At 38.5% G+C, this 18,888-nt stretch overlaps 1 protein-coding gene across 9 annotated transcripts in view; it reads right to left on the bottom strand.

Moving 5' to 3' along the window:
- The window catches only part of FMN2 (formin 2), a 383,305-nt gene that overhangs the window by 305,083 nt on the left and 59,334 nt on the right, over positions 1–18,888 (bottom strand). Inside the window, exon 1 of one of the 9 annotated variants that reach the window (XM_017001840.3) lies at positions 4,355–4,601. The exons of the other annotated variants lie outside the window; for them this stretch is intronic. The gene's annotated coding sequence lies outside the window, so the exon portion shown is untranslated. Of the gene's footprint in view, positions 1–4,354; positions 4,602–18,888 lie in introns of those variants that run through there. 9 annotated transcript variants of the gene reach the window in all.

Genomic DNA, 18,888 nt, shown 5'->3' with positions numbered 1-18,888 from the left:
TCTGAGAGGAACTGTTGCTATTCTCATTCCATGATTGGCTTATCTGTGAGTAGAGACAGAATGTCCATCTGTGTGGGAATTAATCTGAGTTTAAGTTCCTCTCTTAATAAGAAACTATCAGCACTGCCCCAGCTCAATTGTCTATCAAGGCCAGCAGACCCATATTAAAGTAGCAAAATATGGTAACTATATCCCAGATATTCCATAAAGTACTATCTCCCACCTGATGCCACAGTTTGCATGAAGGGGAAAAAAATATTAAAAATAAAAATTGCCTCGAAGTATGCAGCTCACTGATTTCTTTATAACCACTCTAAAATCTGTCCTGGTCAGGTGTGCTGGTGGCTCACGCCTATAATTCCAGCACTTCAGAAGGCCGAGGCAGGAGTATTACTTGAGCCCAGGAGATGGAGACCAGCCAGGACGAGATAGCAAGACTATCTCTACAGAAAAAAAAATTTTACATAAAAAAATTAGCCAAGTGTGGTGGCACACTCCTGTGGTCCCAGCTACTTGAGGCTGAGGCGGAAGGAATGCATGAGCCCGGGGGGAGGTCGAGGCTGCAGTGAGCTGTGATCGCACCACTGTACTCCAGCCTGGGCGACACAGTGAAACCGTCTCAAAAACAAAACAAAACAATATCAAATCAAATCAAATAAAATCTATCCCTAGATTATGTAGATAAATCTATCTCAGGCCAGCAGAGGGCTCTACACCTTGTCCTACTGACCTCAAAAAGAATTGCCTCAACTGAATTGGGCTTGGGTGTGATATCTGAGACAAGACTGCCAAGTCCACAGAAGACTACTGAAAATGCCCATCCCATTACAGAATATCTCGTGTAGGAGGGCTCTGAAGACACATTTATTCCTGATCTTATAATTTCACAGCTCTGTCTAAAGAACTAAATAGTTGGATGGTATTTTGAGTTTGTGTTTGTTTGAGACGGAGATGGAGTCTCTGCATCCCGGGTTCAAGCGATTCTCCTGCCTCAGCCTCCAGATTAGCTGGGACTACAGGCATGTGCCACCACGCCCAGCTAATTTTTGTATTTTTAGTAAAGACGGGGTTTCACCATATCGGCTAGGATGATCTCGATCTCTTGACCTCATGATCCACCTGCCTGGCCCTCTCAAAGTGTTGGGATTACAGGCATGAGCCACCACACCTGGCCATTTGTGTTTTCTTTTTTTTAATCTCAGGGACAATATAAATTGTGTTGATCAGATGTGCTTTTCATTTTTGTTATTTAAAAAAACAGTGAAATTCACATATGGCCCACCTGCCACATGTTTGGAGATTCTGGAATATGTGTTTTTGATTAGTCTCATTCCTGGTTCCACTTCAGTATTGTTTTTTCTTTTCTTTAATCTTTTCACTAAAATAGCACCTTTTTATTTTCTTACTATATCTTTTTTTCCTAATCATTGTAAATACTTTTTGGACTAGGTAGCAATAAACACATTATTACTATTGGGGAAATAACAAAAAGGCCGTATTTATTTAATTACCTAAAGAGATGGGGTCTCATTCTGTGGCCCAGGCTGAAGTGCAGTAGTGTGATCACAGGTCACTGTAGCCTTCAATTCCTGAGTTCAAGCCATCCTCCCACCTCAGCCTCCCAAGTGGCCAGGACTACAGGTGAGTACCATGATGCCTAGCTTTTTTGTTTTTGTTTTTTGGAGAGATGGAGTCTTGCTATGTTGCCCAGGCTGGTCTCAAACTCTTGAGCTCAAGTGATCCTCCACCTCAGCCTCCCAAAATGTTGGTATTCCAGGCGTGAGCCACTGTGCCCAGCTGAGATGTCCATTTATTTTAACTCATTTGAACCATTTATAAGATGACTGACTGGCTGGATAAAAGGTAGATCTACTGACAGTAGCCTGAATTGAACTCACAATATCTGGGTTTGCGTTAATCATTTAATTATTAAAAAATAATAGCACAACCCTATAGAATTGTTTTGAGAGGGGAAGATAAGAAAAACAATAACTAATCAGTATCATAATACCACAGCATCCACTGTGTATATTTTCTAAATTTTATTTTCTTTTGAGACAGAGTCTCACTCTGTCACCCAGGCTAGAGTGCGGTGGCGCAATCTTGGCTCATTCAAAGGATTCTTCTGCCTCAGCTTCCTCAGGAGCTGGGATTACAGGAGTGTGCCACCATGCCTGGCCAATTATTTATAGTAGAGACAGGGTTTCACCATGTTGTCCAGGCTGGTCTCGAACTCCTGACCTCAAGCGATCCACTCGCCTCGGCCTCCCAAAGTGCTGGGATTACAGGTGTGAGCCACCGTGCCCAGCCTATTTTCTAAATTTTCTTTGAATGTTTTATGTAGCTGTAATCATAGTGCACATGGTTTTATAAATAATACAGATTTTTTAAATAATTGCATGATCTTCACACTTATAATTTCTATTTCTGCCACAATCTTCACACAGCACTATAACATAGCCATTAAAACAGCTCTACATGGAACACATAAATGTGATTGCCCAAAGCATCTATGGTTGGCTTTTAAATAAAAGGGCTTATTTAAAAATGGAAATGTAAAATGACAAATGTAAAATGACAAATGTAAAAGAATAATAAGATAACATCAAAAGATTAAACCCCAGGATGAACTGAGATCTCTGACATGTTTACAAATAGGCCAGGCACTATGGCTCCCACCTATAATCCAAGCACTTTGGGAGGACAAAGTGGGAAATTCACTTGAGCCCAGGAGTTTGAGGCTGCAGTGAGCTGTGATCACTGTACTTCAGCCTGGGTGTCAGAGCAAAATTCTGTCCCCCCCACCCAAAATAAAATAAAAATGACAAAGGAGTGTTTTCTTAGCTGTGCTTAAAAGAAGCACTAACATTACTACCAGTGAGATACAAATTGGCACAAATTTTCTACAGAAAAATTTAATATCAAAATAATTTAAAAACCTATCCCTTTTGGTTTTTTTTGTTTTTTGTTATTGTTGTTGTTTGAGATGGAGTCCTGCTCTGCCACCCAGGCTCAAGTGCAATGGCACAATCTTGGCTCACTGCAACTTCTGCCTCCCAAGTTGGTTTGATTCTCCTGCCTCAGCCTCCCAAGTAGCTGGGATTACAGGCATGCACCACCATACCCAGCTAATTTTTGTATTTTTGGTAGAGATTGGGTTTCATCATGTTGGCCAGGCTGGTCTTGAACTCCTGACCTCAGGTTATCCGCCTGCCTCGGCCTCCCAAAGTTCTGGGATTACAGGCGTGAGCCGCTGCGCCCAGTCAACCCATCTGTTTTGAACCACCAATTCCACTCATAGAAGTCTTCTCTAAGGGGAGAATATATCAGTGATATGCAAAAATATTTATGTACTAGAATATATTTATTCCAATGTTACTTGCATTTTTACAAAAGAAAAAAAGTAGAGTTTCCAAAAATAGCAGTAAGAATAAAAAATTTAATTTGTACATATAGTGGGACAATCAAGAGCTATTAAAATCACATCTCATTGAATGCCATGTAAAATCTGTTTATGGTATGTTGCCAAGTGAAAGTATTTGGCTATAAATTTATATTGTAAATATAATACACGAGGCTGGGTGCAGTGGCTCACATCTGTAATGCCAGCACTTTGAGAGGCTGAGGCAGGTGGATCGCCTGAGGTCAGAAGTTGAAGACCAGCCTGGCCAATGTGGTGAAACCCCATCTCTACTATAAATACAAAAATTAGCTGGGCTTGGTGGCTGGCACCTGCAATCTCACTTACTCGGGAGGTTCAAGCAGGAGAATCGCTTGAACCCGGGAGGCAGAGTTTGCAGTGAGCCAAGATCGTGCCATTGCACTCCAGCCTGGGCAACAAGAGCGAAACTCTGTCTCCAAAAAAAAATTAATAATAATAATACATGAGCTAATGGCTACATAACGTATAATTATATAATGAGGTAACGTTTATTTATATATATATATTTTATATTTATATACATATATATAAAAAACATGGAACACATAAATGTGAGTTTATATATATCTTGAAGGGAAGAGGAAAGGGAATATTAAATTAAGAAAAAATTAGCAAGCCAGGATTCAAGGGAGAACACAGACCTAGTGAGCGGAGGTTGGCTCATGGGGGATCCTTTTGCCCCCACCCCTCAACACCCTACAGGATTCCTGTGAGAGTTTGTGGACACATTATCCGGGGAAAGGGACTGGAGGACCCTGACCTCTAAGAGAGACTGGCCCTACCAACACCTCTCACTTGGGGTTAGAATCTAAAATTCCATCACACTAGTAACAAAGATTAACTAGAAGAAGGCAGGTCGAACATTTTCAGGGCTAAAATTCAACTTCAAAGCATCTAAATCTTTGAACATACCTCAAGGTGATCTTGGAATATTAGTGCCCCAGGTCCCCGGCAAAAGCAAACATAAATCCTATCTGGGAAAAGATGAGATCAAACTAAGCATTTGCACAGCATAAAATAAAAAAAAAAAATAGAAAAATGGAGACATAAATAAAAAATAAACAAAAATCAATAGGAAAACAGACAACAGAAAAAGACACACAGGGATCCTAGATTGTTATCAGACTCACATTTTAAAATAGCTATGTTAAATCTCTCCAAGAAGATAAAAGACAAAATAGACTTCAGCAAAGAGTGGTGGCTCATGCCAGTCATGCCAACACTTTTGGGAGGTCGAGTTGGGAGGATTGCTTGAGTCCAGCAGTTTGAGACCAGCCTAGATAACACAGAGAGACCCCGTCCCTACAAAAAATTTTAAAATCTAGCCAGGTGTGGTGTCCATACCTGTAGTCCCAGCTACTTGGGAGGCTGAGGCTAGAGGATCACTTGAGCCCAGGAGGTTGAGGCTGCAGTGAGCTATGATCGCACCACAGCACTTCAGCCTGGGAAACAACATGAGACCCTGATTTAAATTTTTAAACAGAAAGAAAAAATGCCAACAGATAACTAGAAATAATTTTAAAAACTGAGCAATTCTAGAACTGACAAATAGCCAAATTAAAACCTCAACAGATCTACTTAATGGTAGATTAGAAGCAGCTGAATAAAAAATTAGTGCATTCAAAGAAGGATAAAAAGAAACAATCCAGAATGAAGAAATGGAGTCAAAAGGATGGGAAATATTGCAGAAAAAATAAGAGGATAAAAGATACAGTGAAGAACTCTAACTTATGTATAATTGGAGTCCCAGAAAAAAAGATATCATAAAGAGAATAACTTAGAAGCATTATCTATAGAAAGATCATTCCTGAAAACATAAAATGAAAGAAAGTATCAAACTACTACTGATTTCAAAGCCCTATAAATGCTATAAGTGGGTGAATACAGTAAAACTGCTATAAAAAAGCTAAAAATAACATCTTTAAAGCAGCCACAAATAGATGACCTTCAATGAATGAATAAACAGATTATTTTTGTTAAGAAGTTAGTGTCATTGAAAGCTAGAAGATAGTGTAATGATCTTTTTTAAACTGCCTACTAGAATTCTACACCTTGTAAAAATATTTTTCAAGAAGAAAATGAAAGAAACCTATTTTAAGACCAAAAACACTAAAGAATTTGTCACCTAGCAGGCTTGCACTAAAGGAAATACAAAAAGATGCTCTTTAGGCTGAAAGAAAATAATCCCAAACAGATTCCTGAAGATGCAGAAAGAAAGAACAAAGAAAAAAGATTAAATGAATACTAAACATATAAACAGTATTAATGTCCTGTGGAGATAATATAGAAAGAATTAAAATAAAATAACAATGTGTAACTTGGAAGTGAAATTTATTAAGTTAGGGAATCTCAAGGTTGCTTAATTTGTCTGGAAACAGGTCTTAAGGTTGCTTAATTTGTCAGGAAATAGGTGAAAGTACCAAAAAACAAAAAAGGCAAAAATGTATGCAGTTTTAAAAGATAAGCTTAGGTGTAGTGGCTCAGGTCTGTAATCTCAGCACTTTGGGAGGCCAAGGCGGAAAGACTGCTGGAGCCCAGGAGTTCAAGACCAGCCTGGACAAGATAGTAAAATCTTGCCTTTACAAAAAAATTTAGAAATTTAAAAATAAACATAAAAATTATCTTGGGGTGGTGACGCACCCCTGTAGTGTAGTCCTAGCTACTTGAGAGGCTGAGGTGGGAGGATGGCTTAAGCCCAGGAGTTCAAGGCTGCAGTGAGCTATGATTATGCCACCGCACTCCACCATGGGTGACAGAGGGAGACCTTGTCTTAATAATAAAAATAAAAATAATAATAATAAAAGATAGTTGGTAAAATTACAGTTTTTAAAATACCAGAGAGAACAATTAAATAGTAAAGAGTAATTGATAAATCCAAAAGACACAAAAGGAAAAGGACTATAGAACAGATAAGACAAATAGAAAATATACAATAAAATAGTACTTTAAATCCAAGCATTTAAACAATTGTATTAAATGTAAATGGACTTAGTTATACTTCAGTAAAAAACAAAAGACTGTCAAGATAAAAAATGAGCTCCAAACCTACGCTCTTTATTGAAGATACAAATGAAAAGGTATAAAAATGATTAAGATTACTAGAAAGTAAAAAGATATAACATGTAAATTTTAAACTAAAGAAGGCAAGTATAGCTATATTAATAACAGATAATGATTTACAGCAAAAAGCATCATAAGAAACAAAGTGAGAGTCTTCTATTGATAAAAATGTAATTCATAAGGAAAATAAATAATTCTAAATATGCGTGCTTCAAATAACAAGGCTTCAAAGCACACATAGCAAAAATTGGCAGAGCTCTAAGGAAAAACACATGTCCACAAACATAGTAGCAATAACTTTCTCAATAGCTGCTACAATGAAAAGAAAAAGTAAGGATATGGAAGATCTGAACAACATAATCAGCAATTTACCTAATGGACTGAAGCAAAACATTTAACCTAAAACATTCTTTTCAAGCATACACAGCACACTGATGAAAGCTGATCACATCTTCGGTAAATCTCAATAAATGGCAACATACTGAAATGAAGAGTATGTTTTCTCTTAATATAATGAATTAAATTAGAAATCAATAATAAAAGAAGATAAAACAAAGTCTCCATGTTTGGAAATCAAGCAATACAATTCTAAATCACACATTATTGAAAAAGACAACAGAGTCAGCATTTTAAAATATTTTTTAAATGAAGGATAATATAAATATTTGCCATAACTTTAGAGATACAGTTAGTCATGTTTAGAGAGAAATCTGTAGGTTTAAATGCATATATTAAAAAGATAGAAGGTTACAAAAATCAGTATGTTAAATATCCATCTAAAGAATTTAGGAGAGAAAAAGATCCAGCAATTTAGCCCAAAGAAGGGAGAAAGAAGGAAACAGATTTAAGTGTTAATAAATAGCCTCCAAAGAAGTCTTCTGGAAAAGCTAATAATATTAAAAACCTCTGGCAAGTATAATCAAGTATTGATACAAATAACTAATGTCAGAAATAAAAAAGGAAACATAACATTGATCCTACAGGCTTTAAAGTAGTAAGATATTAGAATAACTTTACACCAAAATTTAAAAATATTAGATAAAACATAATTTTTAAGGAAAAAAATGCAATTTACCAAAATCAACATACAAAAAAGAAAATGTGAATCGTTTCATAACTAGCTTTTGCTTTCTTTTTTTGAGACGGAGTCTTGCTCTGTCACCCAGGCTAGAGTGCAGTGGTGCGATCTCGGTTCACAGCAACTTCTGCCTCCCAGGTTCAAGCTATTCTCCTGCCTCAGCCTCCTGAGTAGCTGGGACTACAGGCAACTGCCACCACGCCCGGCTAATTTTTCTATTTTTAGTAGAGATGGGGTTTCACCATATTGGTCAGGCTGGTCTCGAACTCCTGACCCTGTGATCCACCTGCCTCGGCCTCCCAAAGTGCTGGGATTACAGGCATGAGCCACCATGCCCAGCTGCTTTTGCTTTCTTCATAATTTCTTTTGACAATTTTTTGTTTTTTTTTTTTTGAAACAAGGTCTTGCTCTGTCACCCAGGCTTGAGTGCTAGAGTACAATCACAGTTCACTGCAGCCTCAACCTCCTGAGCTCAGGAGATCCTTCCATCTCAGCCCCCTAAAGCGCTGGGATTACATGTGTGAGCCACAACACCCAGCCCATTTACTTTCAATATACTCCAAATTATCAGTCTTTTCCTCTATAGCCAGGGTATTGTCCTGTTTAAGAAGTTTTTGCCTACTCCATAAGCAACAAGATACCTCCCATATTATCTTCCAGAAGGTTTGTTATTTTATCTTTCACATTAACATTTATAATCATCCTAGAAAGTTTTGTATTTGTGAGATGGATATCAACTTTCATTATCTTTTTCATATGATTACCCAGTTGACCCCATCTCATTTATTTAAAAGGCTGTATTAAGCTGCTTTTCAGTGCCACTTTTGTCAGTCATTAACTGTCTATATACATGAGAGTCTGTTAGGTGACTCTGTTCCACTGTGTGTTTCTATGTCCTTGCACAAATACTAGAATGCTTAATTACTGTTGCATTATAATAAGTCTTGATACCTGGAATATTAACTCTTTCCACTTGTATTTTTTTTTTTTTTCAGGTGGAGTCTCCCTCTGTCGCCCAGGCTGGAGTGCAGTGGCACAATGTCGCCTCACTGCACGTTCCGCCTCCCAGGTTCACGCCATTCTCCTGTGTCAGCCTCCTGAGTAGCTGGGACTACAGGCACCCACCACCACGCCTGGCTAATTGTTTTCTATTTTTAGTAGAGACAGGGTTTCACCTTGTTAGCCAGGATGGTCTCTTATCTCCTGACCTCGTATTCCGCCTGCCTCGGCCTCCCACTTTGATTTTTTTAAAGATCATCTTCCTTATTCTAGGCCCTTCCAACATAAAGTTTAGGGGTAGTTTGTCACATCCCACTAAAGCACACAAGCACGCATTCACGCACACCCTTGAGACATTGATTAGAATTGCATCTAATCTATTAGTTTGGAGAGAAATGAAATAAAAAAATTCAAAACCATAAACATGATAAATCTGTTCATATACTTGTCATTTCTGATTTTTCTCAATGAAGTTTATTAGGCTTCTGCATACAGGCCATGCACATGTCTGTTCAGTGTCTTCTTAGATTATTTGATGTTTTTAATACTGTCTTAAATGTATTATTTTTTAAGTATTTTTAAAATTTTTGTTTGCTGATACAGAAATGGCATTGGTTTTACATATTGATTTTGTGTTCAGTAATTATGTAAATTTTATTTCTAATTATTTATCTGTAAATGTATTTGAAATTTTTACATATACAATCACATCATCATAAATAATGGCAGTTTTATTTCTTCTCCAATTTCTTATTTATCTTCTAGACCATATAGGAATAATTGTTCAGTACAAGACAGAGTGGTAATAGTGGCATTGTTTTCTCATTCCCAAACTTAAAAGAACAAACCTTCAATATTTCACCATCTAATGATATTTGCTGTAGATTTCTTATAATTGTCCTTTATCAGGGTAAGCAAGTTTTCTATTTCTAAGTTTCCTAAGAGTTTCTGTCATGAATGGTGATACAGTTTATCAAACACTTTTCTGATAATCTCTAGGGAGAATCATTATATATATACACATTATATACATATATTATATACATTATATATAATGTATATATACATACAATGTATATAATGAAAAATATGTGGCTTTTAAATGTGAAGCTGACCTTACTTTCCTGGAATCAACCTAACCTGGTTTTGATATGTCATTTGGTTTTCAAATATTAAACCAGCCTTGCATTCCTTTATATACATTGCTGGATTAAATTTGCAAATATTTCATTAATAAATATTTACATTTATCAGGGATAGTAGCTATAGTTTTCTAATGACTGTATCTGGTTCTAGTATCAGGGAAATTTTGGCCTCATAAAATAAGCTGGGCAGTGTTCATTCCTCCTCTGTTTTCTGAAAGAGTTTATACTAAGACTGGTTTTATTTCTTCTTTAAATGTTTGGTAGAATTCACCAATGAAACTACCTGAGTCCAGAGGTTTTGTTAACACTCTTATTTTATTAATAACAAAAAAAAAATTCTAAGATGAGGAACAAACTGAAGACCAAAAGAATATGTGTGTATGTGTGTGTGTGTGTGTGTGTGTGTATATATATATATACACAGATATAGATATATATATATACACAAATATATATATATATATATATATATATACACAGATATATATATATATCTCTCCATGTATGCAAATAATTCATATGCTCCAAGAGGGATTGAAAATCTAAGCACTCAAGAGAGAGCAAAAACATTCATACCACCATGACTTGGGCTTTTTAAAATAAACTTTCAAACCCTCTCAGTGAGCATGCATTATTTGTAATTAGAATTAAAAGTAATAAATGGCAGTCAGGGCTGGCTCCCCACAAACAGGTTAGGTTAAATAGAATAGGTTCTCCCCACACTCTGTTCTGAGCTTGTAATGATAGTGTGGACAGGCTTTCCGACATGGCTACAAGTTGGATATGGTCTGTTTCACTTTGAAGATCCTATTAGTTCATTTCACTAGCCTTCCACTTCTCACACAGCAAGAACAAAGTAATACCTGACTCTTAGATGGGTGAGGAACCCCATTTTGAACTCCATAACCAAAAGAGAGAGATGTGACGGCTCAGGTTTGCTGGGAGTGGGGCTACTACTGTCAAATACAGAAGCCACAGAATACAGGAGTTAGAAGAGCAGGGAAAAAATAGAGTGTCAAGCCTACAAAAATGGAGAATATCTCTCAAATTACTAAAGGTCATCTAGAAGACATTAACACGATACCTTTTATTTCTAATGAGGCTAAAGCAGCTCACTTTAAACCCCAGCGTATCAGAGAAAAGACAGACATAAAGATAAGTTTCATAGGGTGGATTTAAAAAAAAAACACAGAAAAAGGCAGTCTTTATAATTTTGTAGCAGTTGGACAAGCAAACCAATTAAAATTTCTTGTTAGTCTTTTACTTTATGGTACCATGAGACTATTCTATCATCAATTAGATAATGCAAATGATGGAAAATCCCAGAATTAAGGGAAACAAAGCAGTCAGGTTGAACGGGAAACAGTTTTTATAATGTTTTATAGCAGTTTTATAACTTTTCTCAAATCTTCTTATTGGTTCCAGATAAAAGACTATATATAAATATTATGTAGAAGGGTAATCATTAAGCTACCAAAGAATAATAAATACAATATGAAACATAAAAACATGGTATTAATTAGCTCAATCTTTAAGAGATGTTACATCTGAATTGAAATATTACATTAGCAATATTCAGCCTGTCATTTTTATCAACTAGAGTCTTTATGAGAGTGTGGACAAAATAGGGGATGCATTAGGGGTTCAGAAGAAAATTATTAATCAGTTCGACACAAAATGCAGGACTGGTGCACTTGGTCAGTAACATACTAACAATAGAAACTAAGTAGTAGCTTGGGAGAGCTTATTGGGAGATGGATCAAATTCAGGCGTGGTGGGGGGGAGATGCAGTTATGTGATTTTTATAAAAGTATTTGACCTATATTTAGAAGCTCATTTCCATTCAACTTGATGTCTGAATTATTGGTTGACCTTGAAGAAAATAAAATTAACTGAAGTCTAAATGACTCTTTCCTAATCATACATTAGAGAGGAAACATATCTAGCCAACCTTGTGGCATTGATAAGAATAAATTATATAACATCAATAATGCTCTGAACATCACCCAGGGAGGTCAGTTGACTTACCCAAGGTCATAGCAAATTCAGAAAAAGACAGAAAGGTTCTCCTACCTCCAGCCAAGCATAGAAGCTTTCCTGTAATACACAAAGCTTATGCTCTGAGGCCTTGAAAACCAGTGGTTTTCTTTTTGGTTTGGTTTTGTTTTTCAAATCCAAGCTGAATCTAACTTGGCATTCCGGCTGGATTAAATATTTAACACATCTTCTAACATTATCCAGCTGCAAGAAAAAAAAATGAGAGAGGTAGGATCTTATGGGGATTAGGGGATGCTCTTAGAATTTAAAAAATTAATTTTAAATCCTGGAAGGCCTCAGCCTTCCAAGTAGCTGGGACTATAGGTGTGTACCACTGTGCCTGGCTGACTTTTTTTTTTTTTTTTTTTTAGTAGAGACAGAGTCTGACTATGTTGCCTCAGCTGGTTTCAAACTCCTAGGCTCAAGTGATTCTCCTGCCTCAGGCTCCTAAAGTGCTAGGATTACAGGAGTGAGCCACCACGTCTGGCCCTTTTCAGTGATATATATTTATAAAAATTCCAAGTTTTAGTCATTTTTTTAAAAAAAGTATCTAATTTTGAAGTGCCAGTCTTGAATAGTTAATCTCCCTGAACCTCAATTTTCCCTCTGTAAAATGGGGATATTATGAGATAATTTTTGCAAATCATAATGCCTGAAATATCAAGTGTTCCATAAATAGTACCAACTACAGTTACTATAGTTAATATTGCTTCTTTCCTTCCTTCATTCCTTCCTTTCCCCCACTTCATTACTTCCTTTTCTCCCCTTCCTTCCTTTATTTCCCTTCTAAATTAAAAAAGAAGTTATTATAATCATTGACTGGTTTCACCTTCAGATAACCCAGACATGGAGGCAACTTTTCTAATACTTCTGAAAAGTGAAAACAAAATCTTTCAGTACAGCTGTGCAGAGCCATAACAGAAGCTATTATTTCTCTCAGTGACTGATATTTCAAGGAAAGCGTTAAACTAATAGCAATGACTAGGAAAGCACGGTTTTAATGAACTCACATACTCCCACAGATTTCTACCACAGACATACACGAAGCTCAGTTCTTGAGTAATTAATTGTGAGCAACTACTTTATACCAGATAAACTAGGATCAACTAAATGTCAGCATGAAACGTTAAAGTTATAAGCCTCTCTACAGCTTCAGAAGGTAGCTATATAAAGTATTAGCTATTAACACAGCACTGTAGAGGAAACAATAATTTGTCATATTAAATAATGTAAGCTGTGCGGTAGACTTTTTAAAGTCAATAGTTAAATGCCTTTTATTGCTAAGAAATAAAGTTTTTTTCTTAACTTTCATTTTCTAGATATCAGCAAGTACAATTAAGAGTAAATCCATTTAAATTGAATAATTCTATTATTCTGTCCACTCTTCCTAAAGCTTTCAAAAGCTTGCTCAAATAGCAACGTAAATCCTCTTTGTTTCTAGATCTTATTTTTCTTTCTTCTTGTCTTTCCTGTATATTATAATTCAGGCGATTAATGAATTGCATCTATTAATCTAACATATCCCACTTCCTCAGTGATTCCTACTAACCTGTAGATGTTCAAATTCCATCTTCTTGGTCAATGCATTCTGCTTGATCCTTTCTGGAGACAGGTCCTGACAAACCTTTTCTACTTTGCATAATTCCGTCCCATCACAAGAGTGGATGCTTTCTCTTACCATCCTAGGGCCAACTAGGATTTCAGCCCACCACCTTAGCCTGCTCTAACTCAGCTGTTGGAGAGAAAAAATCCCTCTTGTGAAGCAAGTGCACAGTCTATTTCAGAGACTAAACCCTGCCCTCACTCCCTTCACAGCGTTACTGGAACCAGTTTCCTGACTCTGCATTACCTCTGTAGCACTTCCTTTGGAAATGTAACAAGAGCAACATGGATGAATTAAAAGGAAATGCCTCTGCCGAGACATCTTAAGAGAAGGCAATCAATAAATTTTAAGTATCCTAAAATAAATTTTCGGAAGTAGTGAATGGTTTGGAGTTTAAACAAATGGATTTTTTTTATCTGCCTCAAACCCAGCTGAACATTTCCCTCTGCATGAGGCTGTTTTCAATGACATACTTCTTGCTGTTGTTGTTGTTGACAGGGTCTTACTCTGTTGCTCAGGCTAGAGTGCAGTGGTGCAATCATAGCACACTTCGGCCTCCTACTCCTGGCTCAAGTGATCCTCCCGCTTCAGCCTTCCTAGTAGCTGGGACTATAGGTATGCACCACTGTGCCTGGCTGACTTTTTGTTGTTGTTGTTGTTGTTTAGTAGAGACAGAGTCTGACTATGTTGCCTCAGGTGGTTTCAAACTCCTAGGCTCAAGGGATTCTCCTGCCTCAGGCTCCTAAAGTGCTAGGATTACAGGAGTGAGCCACCACGTCTGTCCCTTTACGGTGATATATATTTATAAAAATTCCAAGTTTTAGTCATTATTAAAAAAAAAAAAAAGTATCTAATTTTGAAGTGCCAGTCCAGATGGTCAGTTTTTTTTTTAATGATATAGCTAAAGAGTCCTTTTATATACTAACAAATTGTGCATTGCTCATCAAAAATTAAGAGCATGAATTATTAAAAAACATTACTCAATAAAGAATTGCCCATCTAATCTGCAAAACTAGAAACCTTGATCTTTGACAACCTCACACCTTCTAAATCTAGTAAGTCACCAAAATGAATTATTTCCATCTCAGATATGTCTGTAGAATGTGTTTCTTATTCATCTCAATCACTTTGGGCTCTCAAATCTAGTTTAAAAACATTTTGATAGGCCAGGCACAGTGGCTCACATAATCCCAGCACTTTGAGAGGCCAAGGCAGGAGGAACACTTGAGGCCAGGAGTTTGAGACCAACCTGGCAACATAGCTAGACCCTGTCTCTACAAAATATTTAAAAATAGCTAGGCATGGCAGTGCACATCTAATCCCAGCTATTCCAGAGATGGAGGTGGAAGTGGGAGAATCACTCGAGGCTAGGAGTTAGAAGCTACAGTAAGCCATGATTGCACCACTGTACTCCAGCCTGGGCAGCAGAATGAGATTGGTTAAAAAAATAAAAATTAAAACAAGATTTATAGTCTCTTTCATGATTACCACATCCTGGTAGCTAGCTCTCCACTATGCAGAAAATCATCTTCATCGAAAGCAAAGATTAGTGGCCAGGTGTGGTTGCTCACACCTGTAATCCCAGCATTTTGGCAGCCAAGGTGGGTGGATTGCTTGAGCTCAGGAGTTTGAGACTAGCCTGGGCAACATGATGAAACCCTGTCTTTACAAGAAATACAAAAATTAGCAGGGTGTGGTGGTGTGCAACTCTAGTCCTAGCTACTCAGGAGGTCAAGGTCGGGGGGGGGATTGCTTAAGTCTGAAAGGTTGAGGCTGCAGTGAGCCATGATCACAACACTGCACTCCAGCCTGGACGACAGCACAAGGCCCTGTTGAAAAGAAAAGGAGGGGAGGGGAAGGGAGGGGAGGGAAGAAAGAAAGAGGGAGGGAGGGAGGGAAGGAAGGAAGGAAGGAAGGAAGGAAAAAATTAGCATATTCCTTTCTTGCTACTACAAATCTGAGATCTCTGGTTGGTCCAAGGGTAGTGAGTTATTTCAATTGATTTCAATTGATTGTTCAGAATCAGTTACAGATCAAATTCCTTGTTCTACTCTTTCCTTCTTCTCACTACTACACTTGACTAGCCTTTAAAAATGAGTAAATACAAATATTTGAGACCTCTAATGATTCTGAGATGGAATTGGGATTGCGGATGTGCCTATGAAGATGCCCTTAGTAACAGGTATCACCCATCCCTGTCTCCGCCCATCCTTCACAGCCCACCTTGGTTTCTGCCAACTGGAATTGCTCACCATTTCTTCAATGTGTCAGGATCTTTCACAGCCAACCGTATCTCTGAGGCAGAAACCAGGTTTTCCGCCAAGAACAACCTGTCTTTTCCACCTTGAAAACTCCTACTTAACCTTCATGTGCCACTTCAAATGCCACCTTTCTAGAATGGGGCCTTCCTCCACTTACACGGGTGTTTATTGCTTCATCTGTGTTCCCAGAGCACTCTGTACTATCTGTGTCAGCATTGACTGTGTTTGAACTGAGAATTCTCTTTGATGCATTGTCTGTCTGCTCCCTCTCTCCAGTGAGAACGTACGTTCTCCTAAGACACGGACATGAATTATTCTTAACTGGGTAGGCCTTGTAGGTAGTAACACTTTTTTTTTTTTTTTTTTTTTTTTGATGGAATCTCACTTTGTCGCCCAGGCTGGAGTGCAGTGGCCTGATCTCGGCTCACTGCAACCTCCGCCTCCTGGGTTCAAGAGATTCTCCTGCCTCCGGAGTAGCTGTGATTACAGGCATGCACCACCACACCTGGCTGATTTTTGTATTTTCAGTAGAGGCAGGGTTGTGCCATGTTGGCCAGGCTGGTCTCGAACCCCTGAACTCAGGTGATCCACCCTCCTTGGCCTCCCAAATGCTAGGATTACATGTGTGAGCCACAGCGCCCGGCTGGTGTTCACACTTCTTGAACCCCTTACTGCATGTTAGCTTTATCATAATCCAACAAAAAGTTCATGAAATTTAAATGAGGCAACTTCTGGGCTTAAATCATAACTCCATCTTTTTCTAGAAATTTACCTGTGAGAACCTTTAGTCCCTGGCCTATAAAATAGCATCATACAGGCTGGGAGCAGTGGCTCACACTTGTAATCCCAACACTTTGGGAATTCGAGCTGAGAGGATCACTTGAGCCCTGAGTTCAAGGCCAGCCTGGACAACATAGTGAGACCTCGTCTCTACAAAAAAATAAATAAATAAATTTGCCAAGCATGGTGGCATGCACCTGTGGTACCAGCTACTAGAGAGGTTTAGGTGGGAGATCACTTCAGCCCAGGAGGTTAAGGCTGCAGTGAGCTATGATCGTACAACTGCAAGCCTGTCAAAAAAAAAAAAAAAAAAACTGTAAATACAACCAGCTCAATGGGTACTTTTTGAGAACCGAGTGAGATTAAATGAGATGATATAAGAATTTTGCCCGAAAAAGTCCTGCCATGAATATAACAACAAAAATGATGATAAAATGGCTCTAGCATCTACTCAGCCCTCGTTCTATGCTGGGCATTGCCATAGCCCCTTTACAGCCCACGTTGTAAATATCACTAACCCTCCATCTTAACAACTAGGAACCAAGCCCACGGAGGACAAATGAGCCAGCCAGTGCCACACAGCAATCACTCAGCAAAGCCATGACTCAGACCCGCCTGGGGATTCCACCACACTTACTCTATAATGTTCTCTTACATAAGTGCCTGATATTTTATCTGATCCTCACCAAAACTCTTCTATTTTCCTCATCTTACAGATGAAAACACTAAGTCTCAAATAAGTAACTCACCCAAAATCACAGGGCTACAGGGTGAACAACTCAGACTGGGCCTCTGGAAAGTTTAGTGGATTTTATTGCCACTGTTTTGTAGCTGTCTCCAATAATCACTGATGGCTCTGAGTAAGGGAGAAGGAGGTGGTGACTTGCAAAATAGACACTCCACAGGGTTGAAAGGCTGAGAAATGCCAAGACAGTGGCAGGCTTCTCTCTGCATGGATCTGCTTAGTAGAGCAGCAAAGGTTCCAGAAATAGAATTTCATAGATTGGTATTCTAGCATGACATTAGTTTCTCGGGATGTTGTCTCTGCTTAGTCCTAGCTCATCCCAGAAGTAGGCACAGGCAACAGGGCCACTGTGCTGAGGTTCTCCAGCAATTATGGGAACAAGCGTAAGAAGAAGAGAGCGTGGTATGTATGAGTCTACCGCATGATGCTACTGCTAGGACAAATTTGGAAACGGAAACAAAAGGTTAAGCATATGGAACCCACCCCCACATACACACACATCCTCCTCCTGGCTCTATGAGAGCAGAAGATCCAAAGGAAGGAATTAGAGTGGGGTGAATTTCAAAAACTATAGCCTTATAAAAGGAAACCAATTTTGAGTTAAGGGAAGGAATAAAAGGAATGTAAGGCTTTTTCTTTTTTTTTTTTAAATGAGCTCGGAGTATCAAAAGGGTCCAGTGAAGAGCACACAGATTCTAGACAGGGCCTAGAGAAGACAGAGGATCAGGACTGGATTAGACAGAGAGGAGAATTATGTGTATTCTGTAAATGCCAGAGCCCATGGTGGTACCTACCCTCAAGAAGGAATAAGAAAAGGGAATATGAAAAGTGCTGATAGCAGGGTTTAATTTAGAACAGTGACATGCATTAAAAAGTCCATTGGAGGCCGGGCATGGTGGTTCACGCCTGTAATCCCAGCACTTTGGGAGGCCAGCTGAAGCAGGAGGATTGCTTGAGCCCAGGAGTTCGAGAGCAGCCTGGGCAACATGGCAAAACCCCATCTCTATTTAAAGAAAAAAAATTAGATTGGCTAGGTGGTGCACATCTGCAGTCCCAGCTACTAGGGAGGTTAAGGTGGGAGGATCGCTTGAACCTAGGAGTTTGTGGCTGCAGTGAGCTATGATCGCAGCATTGCACTCCAGTCTGGACAACAGAGCAAGACCCTATCTCAAAAAAATAAAATAAAGAAAAAGTCCATTGGCCCCTCTGCTTTGCCACACAGAGAGTTCTGCTCCTTCAGAGGTAGACTTACACTTTTCAGTGATTCAGTCTTAAAATTAGACAGCAAGTCTCAAGCTGAGTGGGGCAACATCTAAATGCCTATCATAAAGATTTTCTTAAGCAAAAAGAAATACTGTACGAAACTGCATTCACAATTTTCTAAGACTCCTGTCTCTCAGAATCCAGACTTCGCCCACACCGGAGCTTACATTTTCTCAAAGGTGTTAGCTGAAGGTGAGGTTTGAACAATTCGCCCCAGGAAAGCGCATACCAAGCAGAAGTAGCACATATATGAAAGCTGCCTGTTGGGTCTCTTTTCACAGAAAGAAAAGCTAAAATAAGGGCTCAGCCTTAAGATCTGTCACCAACCACGGATAGCACAGGAAACAGGCTGGAACTGAGATTAAGATCTGTGACATGCTCTGCTACTTATAGACTAGGGTGACTTGTTGGTGCTTAGAATGGGCACTGACTCACCCATTAGTAGACTATATAGCCATTATGGCTACAGTTATTA

Source organism: Homo sapiens, chromosome 1 (assembly GCF_000001405.40).
Source record: "Homo sapiens chromosome 1, GRCh38.p14 Primary Assembly".
Lineage (NCBI taxonomy): Eukaryota > Metazoa > Chordata > Mammalia > Primates > Hominidae > Homo > Homo sapiens.
This window is presented reverse-complemented; position numbering and strand designations above follow the sequence as displayed.